This window comes from Homo sapiens, chromosome 12 (genome assembly GCF_000001405.40).
Source record: "Homo sapiens chromosome 12, GRCh38.p14 Primary Assembly".
Lineage (NCBI taxonomy): Eukaryota > Metazoa > Chordata > Mammalia > Primates > Hominidae > Homo > Homo sapiens.
This window is the reverse complement of record NC_000012.12, coordinates 109,813,605-109,835,921: the sequence shown is the minus strand read 5'-3', so window position 1 is coordinate 109,835,921 and position 22,317 is coordinate 109,813,605. Positions and strand designations below refer to the sequence as shown.

General features: G+C 52.9%; 1 protein-coding gene and 1 non-coding gene across 17 annotated transcripts in view, besides 1 other annotated feature; one reads left to right on the top strand and one right to left on the bottom strand.

Moving 5' to 3' along the window:
* MIR4497 (microRNA 4497) lies at positions 2,486-2,574 on the bottom strand. The gene has a single exon (NR_039718.1). It is a non-coding gene; the product is annotated as a microRNA 4497 (primary transcript).
* The window catches only part of TRPV4 (transient receptor potential cation channel subfamily V member 4), a 50,312-nt gene continuing 30,518 nt past the window's right edge, over positions 2,524-22,317 (top strand). For 4 of the 16 annotated variants that reach the window (XM_047429295.1, XM_047429293.1, XM_047429294.1 and 1 more), the window contains exons 1-2: positions 2,524-2,572; positions 21,095-21,511. In XM_047429295.1, coding sequence (XP_047285251.1) covers positions 21,126-21,511 — 386 coding nt within the window. In that variant the 5' untranslated portion in view covers positions 2,524-2,572; positions 21,095-21,125. Of the gene's footprint in view, positions 2,573-8,319; positions 9,113-16,288; positions 17,453-21,094; positions 21,512-22,317 lie in introns of those variants that run through there. The other 12 variants (XM_011538631.3, XM_011538632.3, XM_011538630.3 and 9 more) reach the window with 8 other exon arrangements.
* Positions 14,244-14,744: an enhancer, noted in NCBI's record as "H3K27ac hESC enhancer chr12:110258983-110259483 (GRCh37/hg19 assembly coordinates)". NCBI's record gives its function as "activates a minimal SCP1, AML or CMV promoter by ChIP-STARR-seq in naive H9 embryonic stem cells {active_cell/tissue: H9 hESC(naive)}" and the evidence as "EXISTENCE:reporter gene assay evidence [ECO:0000049][PMID:30033119]".

Sequence of the window (22,317 nt, the reverse complement as noted above, 5' to 3'; positions counted from 1 at the left end):
GGTTAGTGATGATGATGCTGAGCGCTCAGGCCCCTTCCCTCTGAGCTTAGAGAAGAGGAGGTCGCCATCCCTGGCCCCATCTCCCCCAGTTCCAGTCCCCAACATCAGCTGCCTTATGGCTGGAATCACCCTTGCCATTTTCTTTAAATTGAGACAGGCCTTTCTGCAGAAATGGGTCCCAGACTCACTCCTCCACTCTCAACCTGGCCCAGCCCCAGCCCCAGCCCTGAGGGCCCCCAGCAGATAGCTGTCTGTCAGGGAGGTGTGAGGGGCCCTGTGTTTACCTTCCTCTCCACTGCCAGACATCTGCCTGTTTACTCCGGACCCTCAGAGGGTTCTCTTTCCCACCCCAACCCCCACCATGGAGGGAGCAGCTTTTGGAGAGGCCATACTCCTCTCCAAGCCTCAGTTTCCCACTTGCAAAATGGGTAGAGCAAACCCTACCTCACAGCCTGTTCTCCCTCTCATCCCCTAGGCTTCTGTGCTCAGTGAGTTAATTATTAGGGTTTGTTTCTTTGTAAATGTTTCACGCTGGAGGTGAACACATCACTCCTATTCAGGGGTACACACACACACACACTCTCTCTCTCTCTCTTTCGCCTCCCCACCCAGCAATTCTAAAATTTCACTTTCCAGCTGTTGGACCTCAGGAGAGATGCTGCTATTTTCAAGCTGAGGAGGAAGGAGCTACCCCACAGTCCCTGAGTCAGCTCAATTTAGTGAAAACACTAATGATGAAAATGGCATGGCTCTGGGCCGGGCACGGCGGCTCACACCTGTAATCCCAGCACTTTGGGAGGCCAAAGTGGGTGGATCAACTGAGGTCAGGGGTTCAAGACCAGCCTGGCCAACATGGTGAAACCCTGTCTCTACTAAAAATACAAAAAATTAGCCTGGCGTGGTGGCGCATGCCTGTAATCCCAGCCCCCAGGAGGCTGAGGCAGGAGAATCGCTTGAACTCAGGAGGCAGAGGTTGCAGTGAGCTGAGATCACACCCCTGAACTCCAGCCTGGGCGACAGAGTAAGACTCTGTCTCAAAAAAAAAAAAAAAAGGGCTCTGCACAGCCTGGATGCTCCCAGCATCTTCACTGCGACTGTGAGGTGAGGACTTTTGTATGCCCCACTCTACAGGGGGATGTAGAGGCACTGAGGCACAAAGGTGAAGGGACTTGCATAGGGCTGCTGGGTTAGAGAGTCACAGAGCCAAGCTGTGGGCCTGCTAGGCTTTCCAACCACCCTGGAGGAAGTGAGCTGCCCATCCTGTGGAGGTATTCAAGTGGACTCAGTGCTGGGTAGAGGGTATGGCTATGTGTTGGGGCCCACCTTTGTTATCTGATAAAAGAAAATACATGGGTAGGTGTGGTGGCTCATGCCTATACTCTCAGTGCTTTGGGAGACTGAAGTGGGAGGATCACTTGAGGCCAGGAGTTGTAGACCGGCTGCCCTCCCCCACCCCCCCTTCTACAAAAAAATAAAAATTAGTGGGGTGTGGTGGCGCATGCCTGTACTCCCAGCTGCTCAGGAGGCTGAGGTGGGAGGATCTCTTGAGGCCAGGAGTTTGAGGCTGTAGTGAGCCGTGATCATGCCACTGCACTTCAACCTGGGTGACAAAGGGAGAACATGTATCAAAAATAATAATAATAATAAAAAAAATAAACAAAAACGCATTGAGCCAGGCACGGTGACTCAGACCTCTAATCCCAGCACTTTGGGAGGCCGAGGTGGGTAGATCGCTTGAGCCTGGAGTTTGAGACCAGCCTAGGCAACATAGTGAGACCCTATCTCTGCAAAAAATTTAAATAAAATTAGCCAAGCATGGTGGTAGGCGTCTGTGGTCTCAGTTACTAGGGAGGCTGATACGGGAGGATTGCTTGAACGCTGGTGGTTGAGGCTGCAGTGATTCCTGATCACGCCACCGCACTCCAGCCTGGGCAACAGAGTGAGACCCTGTCTCAAAAACAACAGCAACAAAACATTGATGGCCTACTCCGAGGCAGGCTTCGCAGTAAGCACTGGGTGAAGACCAAGGAGAGCAGCTCACATTTATTTACCCCTGAACCATCTCTATGGGCCATACCCGAGGGTAGGGACCTCCTTCAACGCCTCGGAGGAAATTGTCTGCTGAATGAATGAATGAGCAAACACGTGGAGGACTGGGCCGGGACGCCCATTTAGAGACTAGGACACAGTCCCAGGGCGGCCCGAAGTCACGGAGCAAGATCGAATCGGAGCCGATTCCAACTAGAGCCCTCTCCAAAGACCGTCTGCCGCTCTATCCGGGGATCGCGACACCCATTTTCCAGGCGAGGAAACTGAGGCCCTGGCCCTGCACCTCCCCCGCAGGGGAGGCCCTCGCTGGGCGGGCGGGGTGCGAGTAGGGGCCGCCCCTTCTAGGGCCTGCGCTCGGCGGGGTCCGCGAGCCGGCGGGTGGGCGGGGAGCTGGCCGGGGGCGGCGCGCGGCTGGAACCTGAGCCGGCGGAGGAGGGACCCGCGGGCGGACGGGCGCCGGGCGGGCCGGCCGGGATTCAGGAAGCGCGGATCTCCCGGCCGCCGGCGCCCAGCCGTCCCGGAGGTAAGTGGGGCCCGGGCCCGGGAGGGGCGGCTCAGCCGAGGTCCCCTCGCGCCCCTGGGGACATCTCCGTGGCCCGTCCGGCTCCGGGGGGTCCCGAGGCTCCAAAATGCGGGCCAGGGGCGCGGGAGACGGAAGGCACCAGGTTCCGCAGGCGCCAGCCTCTCAGCTAAGTGCCCTTGGGCCGGACACCGGCTCTTTGGGTCTCGGTTTTATCACCTGTGAAATGGGCACCAACGTGGGGCCTGGGGTAGCAGGTCTGGGGGGAGGGCGGTTCGGTTCCCTGAGACCCCAAGCCAGGGAACCAAAGGCCCGGAGCCTTGCAGCCCACCTTAGGAGACTTGGAAGAGGGATTTCGGGGGACCTAAGGTTTGCCCTTGGCCCCTGAGCATGTCGGAGGGAATTTGGAGTCTGGAGCTTCCAAAGGCTTCTTCTTGGTTACTGAGTCCCGGAGAGACGGCTGTTTCCTCCAAGAGGCATGAAAATCTTTAACCTCTAGTTCTGCCCTGGACTCTCAGGACGTCCCGGGGGCGGGTGGCTCCTGGGGGTGGGTAGCGGGGGTGGGGGTGGGGGAGAGAGAGACTCCCACACTCCCCGCTTGCCTGGAAACACCAACCACAGATGCATTCATCGAGCCACCCACTGCTCCAGCCTGCCCCAGCTGTTCCCTCTGTCTGTCCTCTCTGTTTTGCAGATGGGGAAACTGAGGCTTAGGTCGGGGATCTAGACAATTGGGATTTAAACCCAGGGACTATCCAGCCCCAAAGCCCTTCCCACCACACCAGGTGGCCTGTCCTGGGGCCAGCTCTGCACACAGGGCCTGGTGCCCCCGGGGTGCTTGGGAAGTGGCAGGGCAGAGGTGGGCCCTGTGGCTGTTCTGGCTCAGCTTCTAAAACAAGAGCCTCTGCTGGGGGCAGAGGGGCCGTGAACCCCTGAAATGTTAGGCAGATACCCTGTGGGAGCTTTGTTCTGGGATGCTAAGAACCGCTTGAGGATTTAAGCTTTGCCACTTTGGCTCCGGAGCAAGGGCAGAGGGTAAGTCGGGACTCCCCGGGCTCCTGAGGAGGGTGACGAGGTGGGCTTTTGGGGGAACAAGGGTAGAAAGGTCAGGCCTGGGTTATCTGCGGGGCTAAGAGCGGGCCTGTGTGGGGCCCGGGGTGTGCTCTGCAGTCCCCTGCTGTGTGACCTTGGCCTGGTCCCTTAGCTGTCTGAGCCTTTGTGTTCTCTCCTCTGTAATACTGGGGTGCCTGAGGGCAAGCCCCCAGGGCTGTCGTGAGGACCGATGACCTTCCAGGAACCTGGCACAGCCACTGTTGGCTGCCATCAATGTTTAACCAGTTGTCGTTGCCCCAAACATTTTCTTAACAAAGAGGGTGAAAAAAGTCAATTGGCCATTTCCACATTTCTCTAGTTCATTCTGTTTGAAGAATGATGGGAACCAGAAAGCCTGGACACCCACCTTGATTGGTGAATTGCACGCGGAAGGGGTCCCAGACACAAATGGCAAATGGCAGTCATAGTTCAGGGCGGTTCACTTTGTAAGATCAAGGTGGGGCTGTTTTGAAATGGAGGTAACCAGGGAATGGTTGCCTGAACAAAAAGGGTGTGATGCCCCCAGGAGGGATGTTTCACATGAGCTCCGGTGAGGATGGCTGGGATTCCCCAGGTGAAACCCAGATACCTTATATCTGGGGAAGGGGCTGTGGAGGTTCCTCCTGCCTTATCTGGTGCCAACTGGGCCTCTGCCACTTACTCCCTCCTCCAGCAAATGCTCTCTGCAAGCTCACCTGTGCCAGCTCTGGGCTGGGCACTGGAGCAGTGAGATGCTTCCAATCCCAGCTTCGCTGTAGCCTGAGGCGTGTGAAGGCAAGAAGGATTTTCCCTTGTGGCCCCCCGGGGAGGAGCTCCCACACCTGACTTGTGAGCATCTAGCAAGGTGTGCATGGATGGCCGACGCTTAGTAAATGTATGCTGTGGAATGGATGGGGTCAGGGGAGAATGCCGTAGGGTAGGAGGACTGGCCCAGGAAGGACCCACGAGGGCTTGGTCAAGGTAGTGTTTAAGCCGCACCTTAAAGAATAAATGCAGAAGTAGAGGAAAGAGTATTCAGGCAAAGAGAATGGCACTAGCAGAGATATGACTTTTACCTGTTACCAGGTGGCTACACCTGGGGTTTATAGAGCAGAGAAATAGTTCTGTTTGTCTGGAGTTTGTGACGTGACTGGAAAGGGTGAGGGATCAGACAGGCAGGAGCTAAATCAGACCCAGAGGCCCAGAAGTCCTGCCTGGGAGTGACACGGTTGTTTGTCTGTTCTAGAAAGGTCCCTGTGGCTGCAGAGTGGGAAAGATTGGAGGAGCTCAGACAGAGAGGCTGGCCCCAAGGCTGGGGAAGTCATCCAAGCTCTGAGTGGAGAGCGGCAGCTGGAAGGAGATGTAGGAGGGAAGGAAACACACAAGACTGAGCCTCATGTGCCTGGCACATAGTAGGTGCTCAGTCAGTATCTATGGCATGGTTGTCTGAACAAATACTTTTGAGATGGTCAAAGTCCTTTGAGTTCCTTCCTCTGTTCCTAGGGGGATGGGGTCTACATGAAGTGGGTGTCTCTACTCCATGCAGGCCCTTGACCCTGCTGTCTGCCTCAGTTTCCCCCATTTGACTTTGGGAAAGACACTCCAGTCCGTTCTCCAAATTATAGGGACCCAGGTAACAGCTCCTCTTGTTGTCACAGATAGGGTCTGGGGAGCCAAGATAACATTTATTTCATGCCAGTGGGCCCTCTGGAATGCTCCACATCGCCCATTTGGAGCAGAATTCACCTGTTAAAGATTAATTCCGATCTCTTGAGATAAGTGGCTGCTGTTATGAACTCTGGGTACAAGGTTCTGTCTGGCTTTAGCCAACCCTGGGTTGCATTAACAACTATTATGATGGTGGCAAGCCTTTATTGAGCACTTACTGTGTGCCAAGCACTGAGTCAAGCACCCTCAGCACATTTGGATACAAAACTATTTTTGTCTCTATTTTTCAGAGGGCAGAATGAGGTCTAGAGGGTGAAATCTCTTGCCTGGGTTCTCTCAGCTGAGAAGGGGCAGAGCTGGGACCTGAATCCCATTTGTGTGATTGCAAATCCATCCCTTCACCTGTAAGGTGGCCCGTCCCCATTTGTCTGGACCCTCATTGGGGTGCCTGGGGTCATGGGGGAGCTACTCTGCAGTCCAGAGATAGGAACCTGAGTTGGCCGGGTGCAGTGGCCCACACCTGTAATCCCAACACTCTGGGAGGCCAAGGCAGGTGGATCGGTCGAGCCCGTGAGTTTGAGACCAGCCTGGGCAACATGGTGAAACTCTGTCTCTAGAAAAAATACAAAAATTAGCCGAACGTGGTAGCACGCACCTGTAGTGCCAGCTACTTGAGAGGCTGAGGTGGGAGGATCGCTTAAGCCCAGGAGTGAGAGGTTGCAGTGAACTGCGATTGTGCCACTGCAGTCCAGAGCAAGAGATCCTGTCTCAAAACAAACAAAGAGCCTGAACTGCAGACAGGCCTGGGCTTAAACTGCATCCGCATGTTTAAGACAGGCCTGCTATTCCCCGCTGGAGGAGCTCAGGGAAGCCACCTGGCCTCTCTGGGCTTCCATTTCCTCCTGTGTCAAAGGGACTCTCATCCCACTTTGCAGGGATGACCCAAGGCACGTGGATGGGGCTCTGAAGCACAGCTCTTCTGCCTCAGCCCGTGTCAGCTCCCCTTGTCCCCAGGCCCATTCCAGGGCATGTTTTCTTCCAGCTTATCCCCCAGACATCCTCAGAGAGCCCCTCCATGCCAGGTGGGTGGGTGGAAGGTATTGGGGGCAAAGCTAGACTTGCATTTGGGCAAATAATGATATGTTTTCAGCAATGAAATATTTATGAGCATTGACTGAGTGCCAGGAGCTGTCAACTTTTTTTACTTTCCTGATTTAATGCTTAAAAACTAGGGCTGGAGCCCAGCTGCCCAGGTTCAAATCCCAGCTTCCAATAAGTTCCATTATTCCTTTGGCCTCAGTTTCCTCATCTGGACAATGGGGATAAGGTAATGCCTGCCTTGCTGGGAGGTTGTGGACAGTCTTCAGCACAACCTTGAGTGTTTAGTTTAAAACCAGCATCTATTGCCTGTTGTTCACTTTTTTTTTTATTTATTATTTTTAGAGACAGGGTCTCAGTCTGTTGCTCAGGCTGGAATGCAGTGGTGTGATCATAGCTCACAGCAGCCTCGAACTCCTGGGCTCAAGAGATCCTCCTACTTCAGCCTCCCAAGTAGTTGGGACACACCCAGCTTATTAAAAAAAAAGGTTTTTTTCAGACAGGGGTCTCACTATGTTGCCCAGGTTGGTCTGGAATTCCAGAGCTCAAGTAACCCTCCTGCCTTGGCCTCCCAAAGTGCTCAGATTACAGGTGTGAGGGCTGATGTTCATTTTGATGGTGTCACAGCTTCCCCACTGCCGGGGGTGGGCAGGGGCAGGAATGCTGAGCCCCATTTTACAGCTGAGGAAATCGAGACTCAGAGAGGAAGCAATTTACCCAGGGATGCCCAGCTGGCTCATGGCAGAGCTGGAGCTGGAAGCCAGATCTGAGTGACACTGGTGTCCTTGGGTCCACGAAAAGCCCAGTGGCCAGCTTAGCTTCTTGCGTGGAAAGCTACGCTAGGCTCACCCACCTTGGCGTCTGAGCCACCTTAGCTTACCTCCCAGCTCCGCCAGTTGCTGCTCTGTGACCTCAGAAAGTGGCTTAAGCTCTCTGTTCCTGGGCTTTGCTGAGGTCAGAGCTCTGCCAACTTGAGGAGGGATTTGGGTTATTCTGGCTGCTGCTCTTGTTCTGGCCTGGGCTCCTTCAACCTCGGGTGCCCTTGCAGCCCATGAGCTGGCACCCCAGTGGCCGGACAGGAATGAGGAAGGGACAGGGCCTCACTTTCAATGTGACTCTGACTTCCTTCCCACCCCTAGCCCCTTCCTGAGCATTGGTTTCCCCTTTCTGCCCCGAGCCCTGGCCACTGCCGGCTGTGTGACCCCAAGGAGGTTACATCACTTCTCTGAGCATGTTTCCTCATCGGTGAGGGAGGATCACACGAGACCACACCAGGCGCACAGGAAGCCCTTGCCGGTCTCCAGATGAGGTCAGGGCATTGGAAAGGCCACAGAAGGAGGCGGGGGCTCAGGGGACAGACAGGCGGGCCATTGACCAAACGGGAATATCCTTCTATTTCTTTGGTTAGTGAGTAACAGCAGCCCCTCTTGTCCACCCACCCTGCCCCTTGCACAAAGAGCTCCTCAGTCTCACCAGGCGCCCGTTTTCCCCTGAGGGTGGAGTGGCCTGGGTTCCACCCGGTTGACCGAGTGGGCTGGCCACCTTCTGGGACCATTCCCTGTGTGTGTGTTTGTGTACGTGTGTATGTGTGTGTATATTGATGTGCGTGTGTATGTGCGTATGTGTGTCTGTGTGTGTATGTGTATGTGTGTATATGTATGTCTATATGTGTATGTGTATATGTGTATATATGTGTATGTGTGTATATGTATGACTATATGTTTATGTGTATGTTTGTGTATATATGTGTGTATGTGTGTATATGTATGTCTGTGTGTATGTGTGTGCATATGTGTATGTATATACATGTGTATGTGTGTATGTGAATGTCTATGTGTGCATGTGTGTATGTGTGTGTATGTTTGCGTGTATATGTATGTATGTGTGTATATTGTGTGTATGTATGTGTATATGTGTGTAATGTGTATATGTATTTGTGTGTAGTGTGTGTGTGTGTGTGTGTTTATGGAGGGTGGGTTCCATGGGCTTTGGGCTGAGACCCCAGCAGGTGAGGGTGGGACAGGGGGCATGGGGTTGACTGACCCATGGGTCTGGCTCACTCCTGTCCCTGCTTGGCACACAGGAGGGGCTCAGGAATACCTGTAGATAGAGTGAAGGGATGAATGAAGGAAGGAATGAGTGACTGGACAAGCCAGCCAGGCAGGGCATCAGAAGGAAGCACCTGCTCAGATACAGGCTCTGGCTCTGAGACCAAGTGTGCTTGAGTGAGTGTCCTGGTCTTGTTGAGCCTCAATTTCTTCATCTATAAAATGGGCTCACGATAGTTGTCCTCATGAGAGGTGTTGGTCTTATAGGCCAGAAAACCCCACACATAGCAGGTGCTCCGTAAGCTGTCTGTTAAAAAATGGATGGGAGGAAGCTAATTAGTTAGCTGGGCAGAGGTTCGCTTTGGAGACCTGTCTGCCCTGGAGAGAATGACTAAGCCCGTCTTTCACTCCTTTCCTCTGTTCATTCATTCATTCATTCATTCATCCAGCAAATACATCTTGAGCAGCTGCTATGTGCCAGGACCTGTTCCAGGCATCTGGGCCTCAGCAGTTACCAGAAGGGAGTCCCTCCGCCCTAGAGCTTTTGTCCGAGTGACATCATTCCACACGCAGTGCTTTGAGGCCACTTTGTGAGACTCTGATACCCACAATGACAAGTAATCCAGCAGTGGGAACTGTGATGAGCTCCCTTTTACAGGTGAGGAAACTGAAGCTCGGAGAGGTCAAGTGATCCGTCTGGGGCCACGCAGTTACTAAATGGCAAAGTCAAGATTCAGACTCCAAGCCTGTCACCACTGTGCCATCTTGTCCTGCTGAGTTCCAAGGGATATGGCGTTGAGAAGGGGGGTCCTAGGGAGAGGGCATGGTAGCCCCCAAAGGGATGAATGAACTCAAATGGATTTAAAAGCAGATGGTTGGAAGTCTAGCCACATTCACTTCCTGTAGCGTTGTGGACTCAGTTAAATCTCATTCTTTCTGATCTTCAGTTTGTTCATCTGTGAAATGATAACAATAACACCGACCTCAAATGAGAGAGAAATGTGAAAGTGCTTAGCATATGATAGGTATTGGATAAATGTCAGCCCTTACCTCCTTTCCCCCGGGACTGACTTTATACATCTGGGAATGGAGACAATAATATTTAATGTCTATAGTTATTATTTGGATTAAAATAGATAGAAGGGGCCAGCCATGGTGGTTCACGCCTGTAATCACAACACTTTGGGAGGCCAAGGTGTGTGGATCACGTGAGCCCGGGCATTGGAGACTAACCTGGGCAGTAGAGTGAGACTCCATCTCTACAAAAAATAAATTTTAAAAGTAGGAATGGTGGTACATGCCTGTGGTCCCAGCTTCTGGGGAGGCTGAGGTGGGAGGATTGCTTGAGCCTGGGAGGTCGAGGCTGCAGTGAGCTATGATTGTGCCACTGCACTCCAGCCTGGGTGACAAAGCCATACCCTGTCTCAAAACAAAAAACAACCAAATGGGAGGTGCTGTGTGAAGTGTGCCATGGAGGGTAGGCATTACTGATGGTACATTGCAGGCATTAGCCTCAGTCATAATTCCAAGCAGTTAACCCCTGAGGCAGCAGCTTACTGTTGGCACAGACTGGTGTTGAGGTGGGCTGGGACAGAGGAAGGATCTCAAACTGGTTTTCTGCTGCCTTGGGCTCCCTTCCCCGACTCCTGCCCCATCCACTCATAACGGGCACCTGCCCTCTTCCCCCTCCTCTGATTTGGCAAACTCGGGACTTTTGCTCCTAGAAGTGGGGTAGAGGAACGTATGCATGGACGAGTGTCCTGTCCCTTCTGGTCCTTAGTCTCCCAGCTGGGAGGCAGCCCTTGTCCTGACAGCCTTCTAAAGGTGACAGAAGATGGAAATGAGGTGGCGAGGAAACCCTTTCCAAAGGTGAGGTCTCTGCAGTCACGAGCCCTGGTTTTGGAGCCGGGAAGTCTGGGTTCCAGTGCCTGCCCAGTTCTGACCTCCCTGGACCTCAATGTCATCATCCCCCACCTCCCACTGCAAACTGAGGGAATGTTAGCAAGAATGGCAAAGCAGCCATTGAACATCCTTATCTGTAAAATGGGGGTAATAATTGCTACGACCTGGGTGGGGTTAAGCTGTATTTGCTCCATAGTTATTTGGTATACAGTACATTCATGCTTTAAACTAAAAAATAAGTTCAAGTTCATTGAACACTTGGTGTTTGTTGGGCACTGCACTGAAGGCTTGAATTATCACATTTAATCCTCACAATAGCTCTTTGGGGTAGGAGCTGTTATTTTATTTTTTAATATTTTAAAAAATAAATAAATTTATTTATTTTTTGTAGAGATGGGATCTCACCATTTTGCCCAGGCTGGTCTCGAACTCCTGGGCTCAAGCGATCCTCCCACCTTGGCCTCCCAAAGTGTTGGGATTACAGGTGTGAGCCACTGCACCCAGCCTTATTTTTTAGTTTAAAGCATGAATGTGCTATACACCAAATAACTATGGAGCAAATACGGCTTAACCCCACCCAGGTCGTAGTAATTATTACTCCCATTTTACAGATAAGGAAACCAAGGCCCAGAGATGAGATGTGACTTGTGCAAGACCATACAGCCAGTGAGTGGCAGATGAGATGTAAAGCATTGATCAGGCAACGTTCTCAGACTATAGAATCCTCTCTGGAGTTCTCCGTGGCTGTGACCATCCTCTAGGAGAGGGGCTAGGCCAGAGAGAAGGCGGGCCTAAGGTTTTGTTTTGTTGAGATGGAGTCTCGCTCTTGTCGCCCCCGCTGGAGTGCAGTGGTGCTATCTCTGCTCACTGCAATCTCTGCCTCCTGGGTTCAAGAGATTCTCATGCCTCAGCCTCCCGAGTAGCTGGGATTACAGGTGCATGCTACCACACCCGGCTAATTTTTGTATTTTTGGTAGAGATGGGGTTTCACCATGTTGGCCAGTCTGGTCTTGAACTTCTGACCTCAAGTGATCCGCCCACCTCGGTCTCCCAAAGTGCTGGGATTACAGGCGTGAGCCACTGCGCCCGGCCGGACTAAGAATTTGATGCCTCCCTCCTCCTGGGCTGGAGCTGAGTAGCATGTTCTCAAGCAGGGCTGGCTGAGAGGGTGGAATCCTGGGGCTATGCTCTGATGGGAAGGAAGCGAGATAAGGGAAGAAGGACCTGGAGCCTCCTGGGGTAGTGACTTTGTATCCTTGAGCTCCTACTACGTGCCAGACCTTGTTTGAAACCCTTTATGTGGCTGGGCACGGTGGCCGACGCCTGTAATCCCAGCATTTTGAGAGGCCGAGGCGGTCGGATCACCTGAGGTCAGGAGTTCGAGACCAGCCTGGCCAACATGGTGAAACCCCGTCTCTACTAAAAATACAAAAATTAGCTGGCGCAGCGGTGGGCACCTGTAATCCCAGCTACTTGGGAGGCTGAGGCAGGAGGATTGCTTGAACCTGGGAGACGGAGGTTGCAGTGAGCCAAGATTGTGCCACTTATACTCTAGCCTGGGTGACAGAGCAAGATCCTGTCTCTCTCTGTCACACACACATGCGCACACACACACACACACACAAGAAAGAAAAAAAAGAAACCCTTTATGTGTGCTTAATCTCCATGACATTCCCATGTTGCAACAAGGAAACTGAGGTTCTGGGAGGGAAGTGACCTGCCTGAGGTCACTAAGCCTGGAAGGGTCATTTAGATGTAATTCACATACTCATAACTCAGTCTTTTAAAACGTACAATTCAGTTGGTTTCTTAGTGTATTCAGAGTTGTACAGACATCAGCACTATCTCATTCCAGAACATTTTCATCACCCCAAAAAAGGACTCTGTACCCATTAGCAGTCACCACTCCCCACTCCCAGCCCCTGGCAACAACTAATCTGCTTTCTGTCTCTGTGGATTTGCCTGTTCTGGGCATTTCATATAAATGGAATCCTGCAATATGTGGCCTTTTGTGTCTACAAGGTGCATGCTCTTAACCATTAAGCCACACCGCTTCTTGGTGGCTCCTACCCAGGGGCCGGGACCCTTGGAAATGACTTGGTCCCTGTGAAAGCTCAGAGGGGCATCTGTGTGTGCTGTCAGCCGGCCTCCCTCCAGCCAAGGGCTTGCAGAATGACCAAATGACTGCCGTGGCCACGCTGGCCTTGCCCTCCGTGGGGCGCGGTGAGTCACCCCAGACCTGCCCTGCCTGGGTGGTGTGAGTGCATGGGGTGGGGGCCCAGCAGGACACTGGGGCTCTGTCTGTCCTGGACAGGCGGCCACTGTGCAGCAAACAGGAAGCGGGCTGGGCCGAGACCTGCTAGGTAAATACAGGCTGGCCAGGGAAGGTGCTGGGCATGGCATGATGCCCCCCTACTGCTGCCGCCTGCCAAGTGCCTGGGAGCCGTGGGGTAGCCTGGCAGGCAGTAGGTTTCGCCTGGCCAAGGAGTTGAGCTCCCAGCCGGCTGTTCCCAGCAGCCGCCACTTCGAGGTGGCTGCCAGAGTCTACCTCCAAGGCTCTGGATCTGGCCGCTCTGCCTTCTCTAGGAGTCATTGCCTTCCTTGGTCCTCAGTCCTTTTGTTCATCTGTTCCCCTAATGATACTAATAAATAGTACACTGATACTGATGATTCCAACAGCAGCCATGCTTGACTGAATGCATGCTCTGTACCAGGCACTGGGCTCAGTGTTTTGCATGCTTTATCTCATGTAACCCTCACGACAGTTCCCTTGGGGTAGGTGCTAGGATCATTGCCATTTTTCAGGTGAGGAAACCGAGGCATGGGCAGGCCAGGTGACTTGCCCAGAGCTGGTGAACTGGTGGTTCGTCAGGGACTGCGACCCATCCCCCACTCCATTCTTTCTCCAGCTTCTCCCTCCCAGAGTTCCCTTGTCTTTGTAAAGTGTCCATCAAAGGCGCAGGTCCCGGGGATGCATGGGTTCTAATCCTGCCTCCCCCTTTCTGGAGCAAGGCAATGCCAGACAAATGACTTCGCCTCTCTGAGCCTCAGTTTTCTTACCTGGAAGGTGGGGAGGGGGTGGACAGGTCTGGGATTTTCTCTCTAGTAACAGCAAAGCTCAGAGTCCTTGTCTTCCTAGTACCTTCCTATCCACATGTCCCCGGCAAGACTGATTTGGAATGGCAGGCACTCACAGTTGTGTTTATTTGAGGGTACCACAGGAAGTGGGGGCCCCCAAATTGGCTAAGGAGCCCCAGGGTGGAGGGAGGTAGAAGCACACTGGGTCTGTCTGGGAGCCTGAGCACCTTCTCTGTGGGCTCCTTCCTACCCATGGATTCCAACCCCCACCCACCTCCCCACTGCCCACCCACTCACCCATCTCTTCTGCTTTCCTTCTCCCTGTGCCCCAGGCCACACCATTCCTCTGTGCACCCTGCACTTTCCCCTCTACACCTTTGTCCTTGACACCTCCTCTGCCCTTTATCTTCCTCCTCCTCCTCCTCACAGCCTTTCCCCCTCCCCATCAGGATTCTGGCTGCCCTTGCTCTGCAACCCTGCCTGGAACTTCAGGTCCCTGATCTTACAGCCTAAAAAAACCAAATATTCATTGACACCTCATTTTGCTTCAGCACCATGCTGAATGCTGGGGACACAGGGGACACGAAATAGTCCCTACCACATGGAACTAAAACTCTGGAGGTGAAGAGAGAAGATGAATCAAAGAATAATATATAGGCCGGGTGCGGTGGCTCACACCTATAATCCCAACATTTTGGGAGGCTGAGGCAGGTGGATCATCTGAGGTCAGGGGTTCAAGACCAGACTGACCAACATGGCAAAACCCTGCCTCTACTAAAAATACGAAAAATTAGCCGGGTGTTGTGGTGCATGCCTGTAATCCCAGCTACTCGAGGAGGCTGAGGCACGAGAATTGCTTGAACCCAGGAGGCGGAGGTTGCAGTGAGCTGAGATCATGCCACTGCACTCCAACCTGGGGGACAGAGCGAGACTCTCTTGAAAAAAAAAATACATATATAGAAAAGTTTAATCGTGGGAAGTGCTGTAAAGGAAGGCACATGTTACTCTAAGAGTAAAGAGCAGGGGAAACAGGAGGGCTTTTCAGAGGAAGTGCCCTTTAACATGAGGCCTGAGGAGTAAGTGGGAGCCAGCCAGCGAAGGGAAGGGCATTCCAGGCGGAGGGAACAGCCTAGGCAAAGGCCTGGAGGCAGAGAGAGCCATCAGCCTTCCCTCCTGGACTGCGAGTTCTCTGAGGTTCCACACTTTTATGTCTCCCCTGTGCCCTGCAAACAGGTGCCACTGCATTGATGCCTGGTGGAATGAATTGATTCCAGAAGGGAGGGAACCGGGAGAAACCAGCTCCCTGGATTCCTCCCCGCTGGGGCGGAGCAGGTTTGCATGCCCAAACTTGCCCCCAGATTTAAGCAGCTTTCCTTGGTCACGTAATCAGGAGGATGGGATTTGACAAATGTTTGCCAGGGTTTCCATGAGATCAGGCAAAGCCGCGGGTAACCCCGAGGATGGGCCCCTTTTTCCACCCTCCGCAAGTTGGGGCATGGGGACGGAGCCAGAGACCTCCACCGCCTTTGAATCCGGGATTCTCAGAGAGAAGCCATCTGTTGTGCAATCTGCTGTTTATTGAGGCTTTCTTTATGCCAGGCACTTGACTCAAGGTATATACCTCTCACAACGACCCTATTACGATCCCTTAATAGGGCAGCTGAGGGCCGGGCGTAGTGGCTCACGCCTATAATCCCAGCACTTTGGGAGGCTGAGGCAGGCGGATCACGAGGTCAGGAGATCGAGACCATCCTGGCTAACACCATGAAACCCCGTCTGTACTAAAAAAATACAAAAAATTAGCCGGGCGTGGTGGCGGGTGCCTGTAGTCCCAGCTACTCAGGAGGCTGAGCAGAAGAATGGCGTGAACCCGGGAGGCGGAGCTTGCAGTGAGTGGAGATGCGCCACTGCACTCCAGCCTAGGCGACAGAGGGAGACTCCGTCTCAAAAAAAAAAAAAAAAAAAAAAAAATAGGGCAGCTGAAGAAAGTGAAGATCAGAGAGGTTGGGTAACTTGCTCATACTCACCCAGCAAGTGAGCTGTGGGTCTGGGATCTGACCCTCTGGTCTGCCTGACGTCAAAATGTGCCCCACCGGCTCAGGGGGCCATGAGAGCAGAAAGCCAGGTTTCTGGAAAGCCTGGGGTCTCTGTCTAGGGCAGAAAGGAAGGTCTGGGGACCCTGGCTCAGCCCTGTATCTCATCACCCTACTCAGGACTCCTGCACCCCTTAACTTGCCCACTCCTGAGCCCTTCTGGTCTATGCAGTTCTTAACACCATCCGACATGACTCTGCTGCTTGATTTGTCTAGTTTATTGTTTCCCCACCAGAAGGTCTGCCCCCAAAGGGATTGATATCTGTTCTGTTCACATCTGTGTCCCTAGTCTAGCACAGTGCCTGGCACATAGTAGGTGCTCAATAAATGTGTGGAATAAATAGGTAGCTGGCTTCTACTGCTGCCCCTTGGGCCCTTTCCAGAGGAAGATGCAGATTCTTTGTCCATCCTACACAACTGCCATCTCTGTGTGGACCACCATTCAGTATATATATTCTAAAGAAGAGTTTGAATATAAACCTGCTTTTGAATATATAGGATTTAAAACCAACATATTCAAAAACCGCTACTTTGGCTGGGCGCAGTGGCTCATGCCTGTAATTCCAGCACTTTGGGAGGCCGAGGCGGGTAGATCATTTGAGGTCAGGAGTTCAAGACCAGCCTGGCCAACATGTGAAACCCCGTCTGTACTAAAAATACAAAAATTAGCTGAGTGGTAGTGGCATGTTTCTGTAATCCCAGCTACTTGGGAGGCTGAGGCAGGAGAATTGCTTGAGCCTGGGAGGAGGAGGTTGCAGTGAGCTGAGATTGTGCCACTGCACTGCAGTCTGGGTGAGAGAGTGAGACCCTGTCTCAACAAACAAACACCCGCTGCTCTGAATGAACGCTGTTGTGAAGATGTCAGTGTGTGAGGATGTTCACAGTCGTGCAGGAACGTTCTTGGGTGCCTCCCTGATGCACACCTGGTGCAGCTGGGAGCTTCCCCACTGTGGAGGGGCTCCTGGTAGGAGGCATTGTGAGCCCGTGCGGGAACGAAGGGCCCACCATGCCTGCTCACAGTGGGCACACACACATGCACACGCCCATGGAGGAAGGTGGGAAGAAATGTACATGACAGTCACACGCAGAGGAGACACATGTGGACTCACACCCAGGCTCTCAGCCTCTCTCCCTGCCTGCATCCCCGACTTCCCTCCCTCCTAAAACTGGCATGAGTTTGGAATGTGTAATAACAGCCTTTAGGGCAAATTAGAACAGGGAGTAAACTCTTTCTCTGACCACAGAGAACAGGACAGTGTTTGGGGAGGGAATTGCCACAGAGCAGCAGAGCCGGGTGTGTGTGTGTGTGTGTACACATGCCTATGTGTATGTGTACACGTGAGCTAGTGTGTACACACTCCTGAGTGCTGTGATGTGGAAGGAGCCCAGGGCTAGGAGTCTAGAGGTTTTCTTCAAAGCCATTTGCTCCCTAGCTGGCCTCTCAGAGCCTCCGTTTCCTTAGCTGTAAAGTGGGAGCAATAGCCTAGCTTTGTTCAGGTTCTTCGGGGGATTGAATGAGAGAGGGGCTTGGTGGATTTTAGCATGGGCTATAAAATGTCAGGCTGTAGTGCTGGCACGTGTGTGCATGTGTGTTTTGGGGAAGGGGAGTAAGGAGGACAGGTAAATCAGGACCATATCATAGTGGTGATGATGATAATTAAATGTGACAAGATCCAACATTTATCAAATATTTCTTAGGTGCCCAAGAAACACTTGACCTGCCTTATCTCCCAGAAGCCCTACAAGGGAGGTGCTATTATTGCAATCCCCATTTTACAAGTAGAGAAACCGAGGCTCAGAGAGATGAGAATGGGCGGCAGTAATCATCCCTTCCTCCTGGGGGTGGTTGTGAAGCTTGAAGGAGACACTGTAAGCGCTCGGGTGGTACCCTGGTACTCCATCACTAACCTGCTGTGTGACCTCAGGTAAGTCGCTTAGCCTCTCTGAGCCTCAGTTTCCTCATCTGTAAAATGGGAATGATTGCAATACCTACCTCCAGGGCAGATTTTCTCAACCTCAGCGCTGTTGATGTTGTTGACTGGGTTATTCTGTGTGGTGCGGGGCTGTCTTTTGTTTTGGAGGATGTTTACTACCATCCGGCATGGCGGATCCCAGCAAAGGCCCCTGTGCAGGCCTGGTGAGGTGGCCGAGCTTCCTGGTGGGGAGGCCTTCCCCCTCTCCTCCCTGGTCAATCTATTTGAGGGTGAGGATGGCTCCCCTTCACCCTCACCTGGCACCCAGGACATCCCCAGTCCATGGAGGGATTCAATCTGGGCTCTGCAGCCAGCTGCCCGCATTTCAGTCCTGGCTCTGTCACTAACCTGCTGTGTGACCTCAGGCAAGTCACTTAGCCTCTCTGAGCCTCAGTTTCCTCATCTGTAGAATGGGAACGATCGCAGTACCTACTTCCAGGGCAGATGTTCTCAGTCTCGACGCTATTGACATTGTGGGCTGGGTCATTTTTTTGTGGTGTGGGGCTGTCTTTTGCTTTGGAGGATGTTTAGTGCCATCCCTGGCCTTGATCTACCAGATGCCAGTAGTGCTCCCTCTCCTGTACAGTTGTGACAACAAAACATGTCATCAGATATTGCCAAATGTCCTTAGAGGAGGAGCAGAACTGTCCTTGGTTGAGAACCACTGGTCTGGAGTCATGATGAGGGCTGGATGAGGCCCTGTGCTGGGCACAGCCTGAGCTACGTCATCAGGCGAGGATGGTGATTTAGTTCATAATTATTATTTCATCCTAATTAGAATGCTAATCATGATCGCGGCGTGACTTGCCGAAGGCCACACAGCAGCCATACAGGTTGACAGTTGCTGGGAGAGGATTTGAACCTGGGATTGGCTGGCACCAGAGCCCCCATTTTGGAGTCCCCAGGAACCTGGGGTGCTGTCCAGGCTTAGGGGAGGGCTATCCTCCTGAGGGGAGGAGGGTGCAGGCATGGTGGGGGATGGAAGGACCTTCTTGGCTGCCTTCTCTGGCCTTGGGAGCTCCCTGGGATGGGGTTCCATTAGCCCCTGAGGTGCCATGGTGAGGGGTGCAGTGGATAGAAGGGTACTGGAAACACAGAGGGTGCGCCTGATGCCTCGTCTCCCCCTGACCTCAGGGCCCCCAGTGAGGTGGACAGGGCCATGCCCAGGAGAGTCTAATCCACCTCCCGCCAATGCCTGTGCCCCTGCAGATGCCCCTCCTGCCTCAGCAACCCCCTGGCCCCCATTCCTGCAGAGCAAAGCCCAAATGCATGTGGCAGCCATGAGGGACTAGGGATCCAGATCCCCCTCTCCTGTCTGGCCAGTCGAAAGGACTTCGTGTCTCCAGAGGTCCTACTAGGTGCTGGAACTGAGTAGGTGCCTCACATGCTGGAGGACCCTAGGAGGAGGCGTGGTCACTCCAGTCTTACAGGTGGGAAAACCACGGGGCAGACAGAGGAAGTGATTTGCCCATGGTCAAACGGCTAATGACCAGGGCCAAGAGAGGAACTGGGTCTCATTTCAGAACCTGGCCTCCTAACTTCTCTTTCTTCGTTTGGTTATAATAACTGAAAGTCCCACTCTATTTACAGATGAGGAAACTGAGGCTCAGAGAGGCTAAGCAACTTACCTGAGGTATTTATTTTTAGATAGAGTCTTGCTCTGTTGCCCTGGCTGGAGTGCAGTGGCGCCATCTTGGCTCACTGCAACCTCTGCCTCCTGGGTTCAAGTGATTCTCCTGCCTCAGCCTCCTAAGTAGCTGGGACTACAGTCACGTGCCACCACGCCTGGCTAATTTTTGTATTTTTTATAGAGACGGGGTTTTGCCATGTTAGCCAGGCTGGTCTCGAACTCCTGACTTCAAGTGATCCACCCGCCTCGGCCTCCCAAAGTGCTGGGGTTACAGGCGTGAGCTGCTGCACTGAGCCAAAACCCCACTTTAATCCCAGAAGTGGCACTGGATATATCTGACCTCACTTCCCACTGCCTGCAACCCTATGAAGAAGTGACTACAATTGTACCCATTTTGCAGAGGAGGAAACTGAGGCTTGGGGAGCTCAAGTAACTTACCTAAGATCACACTACATGTAAATAGCAGAGCTGGGATTAGAACCCAGGCCTGAATGACTCCAAAGGCCAGGCTGTCTCTCCCTTTTGGTGTCCAAAGGGAAGCCCACCCCCAGTGGGAGCTCTGACCCTCTGTGTCCTGCTGCGCCCACTAAGGGAGGCCTCTTGCTGTGTCCCCACCTCTCTGGTCCAAGTCTTCCCTCCTGGAAGCCACAGAACAAACAAGGTGGGAACTAGTTTATTTGTTTTTCTACGTGCGTATTGGGTGGGAAGGGTGAGATGTACAAGAGAGGGCTTTTCAGACATGCCCCTGCCTCCCGGGTGGGGTGGTAAGAGTTCCAGGAAACTCACCCTTGGTGCCCAGCCCTGCCTGGCTGGCACCATGCTACAGAGAGCAGGGCACTGACAGCCAACCAGTGGGGCCTTGCCCCTCCCTTGCCCTGGCTCCTGGCTAAGCACTGGACCCGGGAGCCAGAGAGACATGGTTCAAGTCCAGCTCTTCTTCCTGCAAGCTGTTTGCTGCCTTTGAAAGCTGCTTCCTCATCTGAGAAATGGGAACAAATGACATCTTTGTCATAAAGTTTTTCATTTGTGTGAGGACTCAGGGATGGACAAGACAGATACATTTCCTGCCTCCTGGCACCCACAGCCTGGGAACGAACCATCCCGTGAACAGCTGGGATAAAGCTTCTGAGGAGAGGAGCATGGATCCTGGGAGCGAGTGTGTGCAGGCCAGGGAGGGCTTTCCAGAGGAGCCCAGTTGAGCTGGAACACCAGTGGGGAGGAGTTGACCAGCAAAGGTGCAGGGAGGGATCAGCACTTTGCACTGGGGAGCAGAGTTTGTGCACTGGGGAAGTCAACTCAAGTATTGGAGCCTCAGTTTCCTGTTCTGTAAAATGGGTTCATCATGACAGTGTTTGATGAGGAAAAGGACTGCCGGCCTACACAGCAAGTCCACATGGATTTTCTGAGCCCCTCCTGTGCCTGAAGCCCACGGTTAATGGTTCTGCCTTAGCAGGTGCTTACCACGTGCCAGGCACTGCACTGCACTGGCCACTGGACTGCATGTTCTGTCCATGAGGCTTGGATATCCCCATCTTACAGATCAGGAAGCTGAGGCTATGAAATGTCGACTTGCTCAATGTCATGGAATGACTAAGTGTGGAGCCTGGATTTGAACTTGGCTCTCTGGGGCTCCAAAGCTGGCTTTCTTGGTCAGCAGTAGGGTCTGGGATCCAAGTATGGGGTCCCAGCTTGACCCTGAAGTCCACCCTCTTTCAGCTAATGCCCAGGGTAGTTGGACCTGGGGCCAATTTGTGTTTCCAGGTTCGTGAAAGAGGCTCCTGTTGCAGTTCCCGCCTGAGGCTGGCGGCCAACCACATCTGGGAGTGGCCTCCCTGTGCCCCTGTCATTACAACGGTGGCTTTGAAGCAGCTGGCAGCACTGCTGCTTGTCCACGTGGGAGGGGGCTTCCTGGAGCCCCCGCCCCTGGCCGGGTTCTGCCTGACTCCCCTTTCATTCCCTTGCAGGCTGAGCAGTGCAGACGGGCCTGGGGCAGGCATGGCGGATTCCAGCGAAGGCCCCCGCGCGGGGCCCGGGGAGGTGGCTGAGCTCCCCGGGGATGAGAGTGGCACCCCAGGTGGGGAGGCTTTTCCTCTCTCCTCCCTGGCCAATCTGTTTGAGGGGGAGGATGGCTCCCTTTCGCCCTCACCGGCTGATGCCAGTCGCCCTGCTGGCCCAGGCGATGGGCGACCAAATCTGCGCATGAAGTTCCAGGGCGCCTTCCGCAAGGGGGTGCCCAACCCCATCGATCTGCTGGAGTCCACCCTATATGAGTCCTCGGTGGTGCCTGGGCCCAAGAAAGCACCCATGGACTCACTGTTTGACTACGGCACCTATCGTCACCACTCCAGTGACAACAAGAGGTGGAGGAAGAAGATCATAGAGTGAGTATTGTTAGCTTCCTGGCCTGTGGTCTCCTCCTCTGTATCCATTCACCCATTCATCATCCACCCCTCTATCTATTATCCACCCATCCGTCGATTCATCCATCCATCCATCTGTCCATCCAACCATCCATACATCTATCCATCCATCTATTCATCTCCCTATCCATATATCATCCGTCCATCCATCCATCCAACCACCCATCTATTCGTCCATCCATCCAACCATCCACACATCTATCCATCAATCCATTCATCTCTCCATCTCTATATCCTCCATCCATCCATCCAACCATCCATACATCTATCCATCGATCCATTCATCTCTCCATCCATATATCATCCATCCATATATCATCCATCCATACATCCATCCATCATCCAGCCATCTATCATCTATCCATCTATCCAACCATCCATCATCCATCATCCATCCATTCATCTATTCATTTATACATCATCCTTCCATCTGTCCATCTATTCATCTATCCATCATTATTCCATCTGTCCATCTATCTACTATCCATCCATCTATCCATCTACCCATCATCCATCCATCCATTCATCCATCATCCTTCCATCTGTCCATCTACTCGTCTATTCATCATTCCATATGTCCATCTATCCATTAATCTATCCATCCATCCATATATCATCTATCTATCCACCCATCATCCATCCATCCATCTACCCATCTATCCATCATCCATCCATCTATTCATCATCCATCTATCTATTAATCCATCATCCATTACTCTACCCATTTACCCCTCTGTCCACCCTTCCATAGGACATTTGTCTGTTCA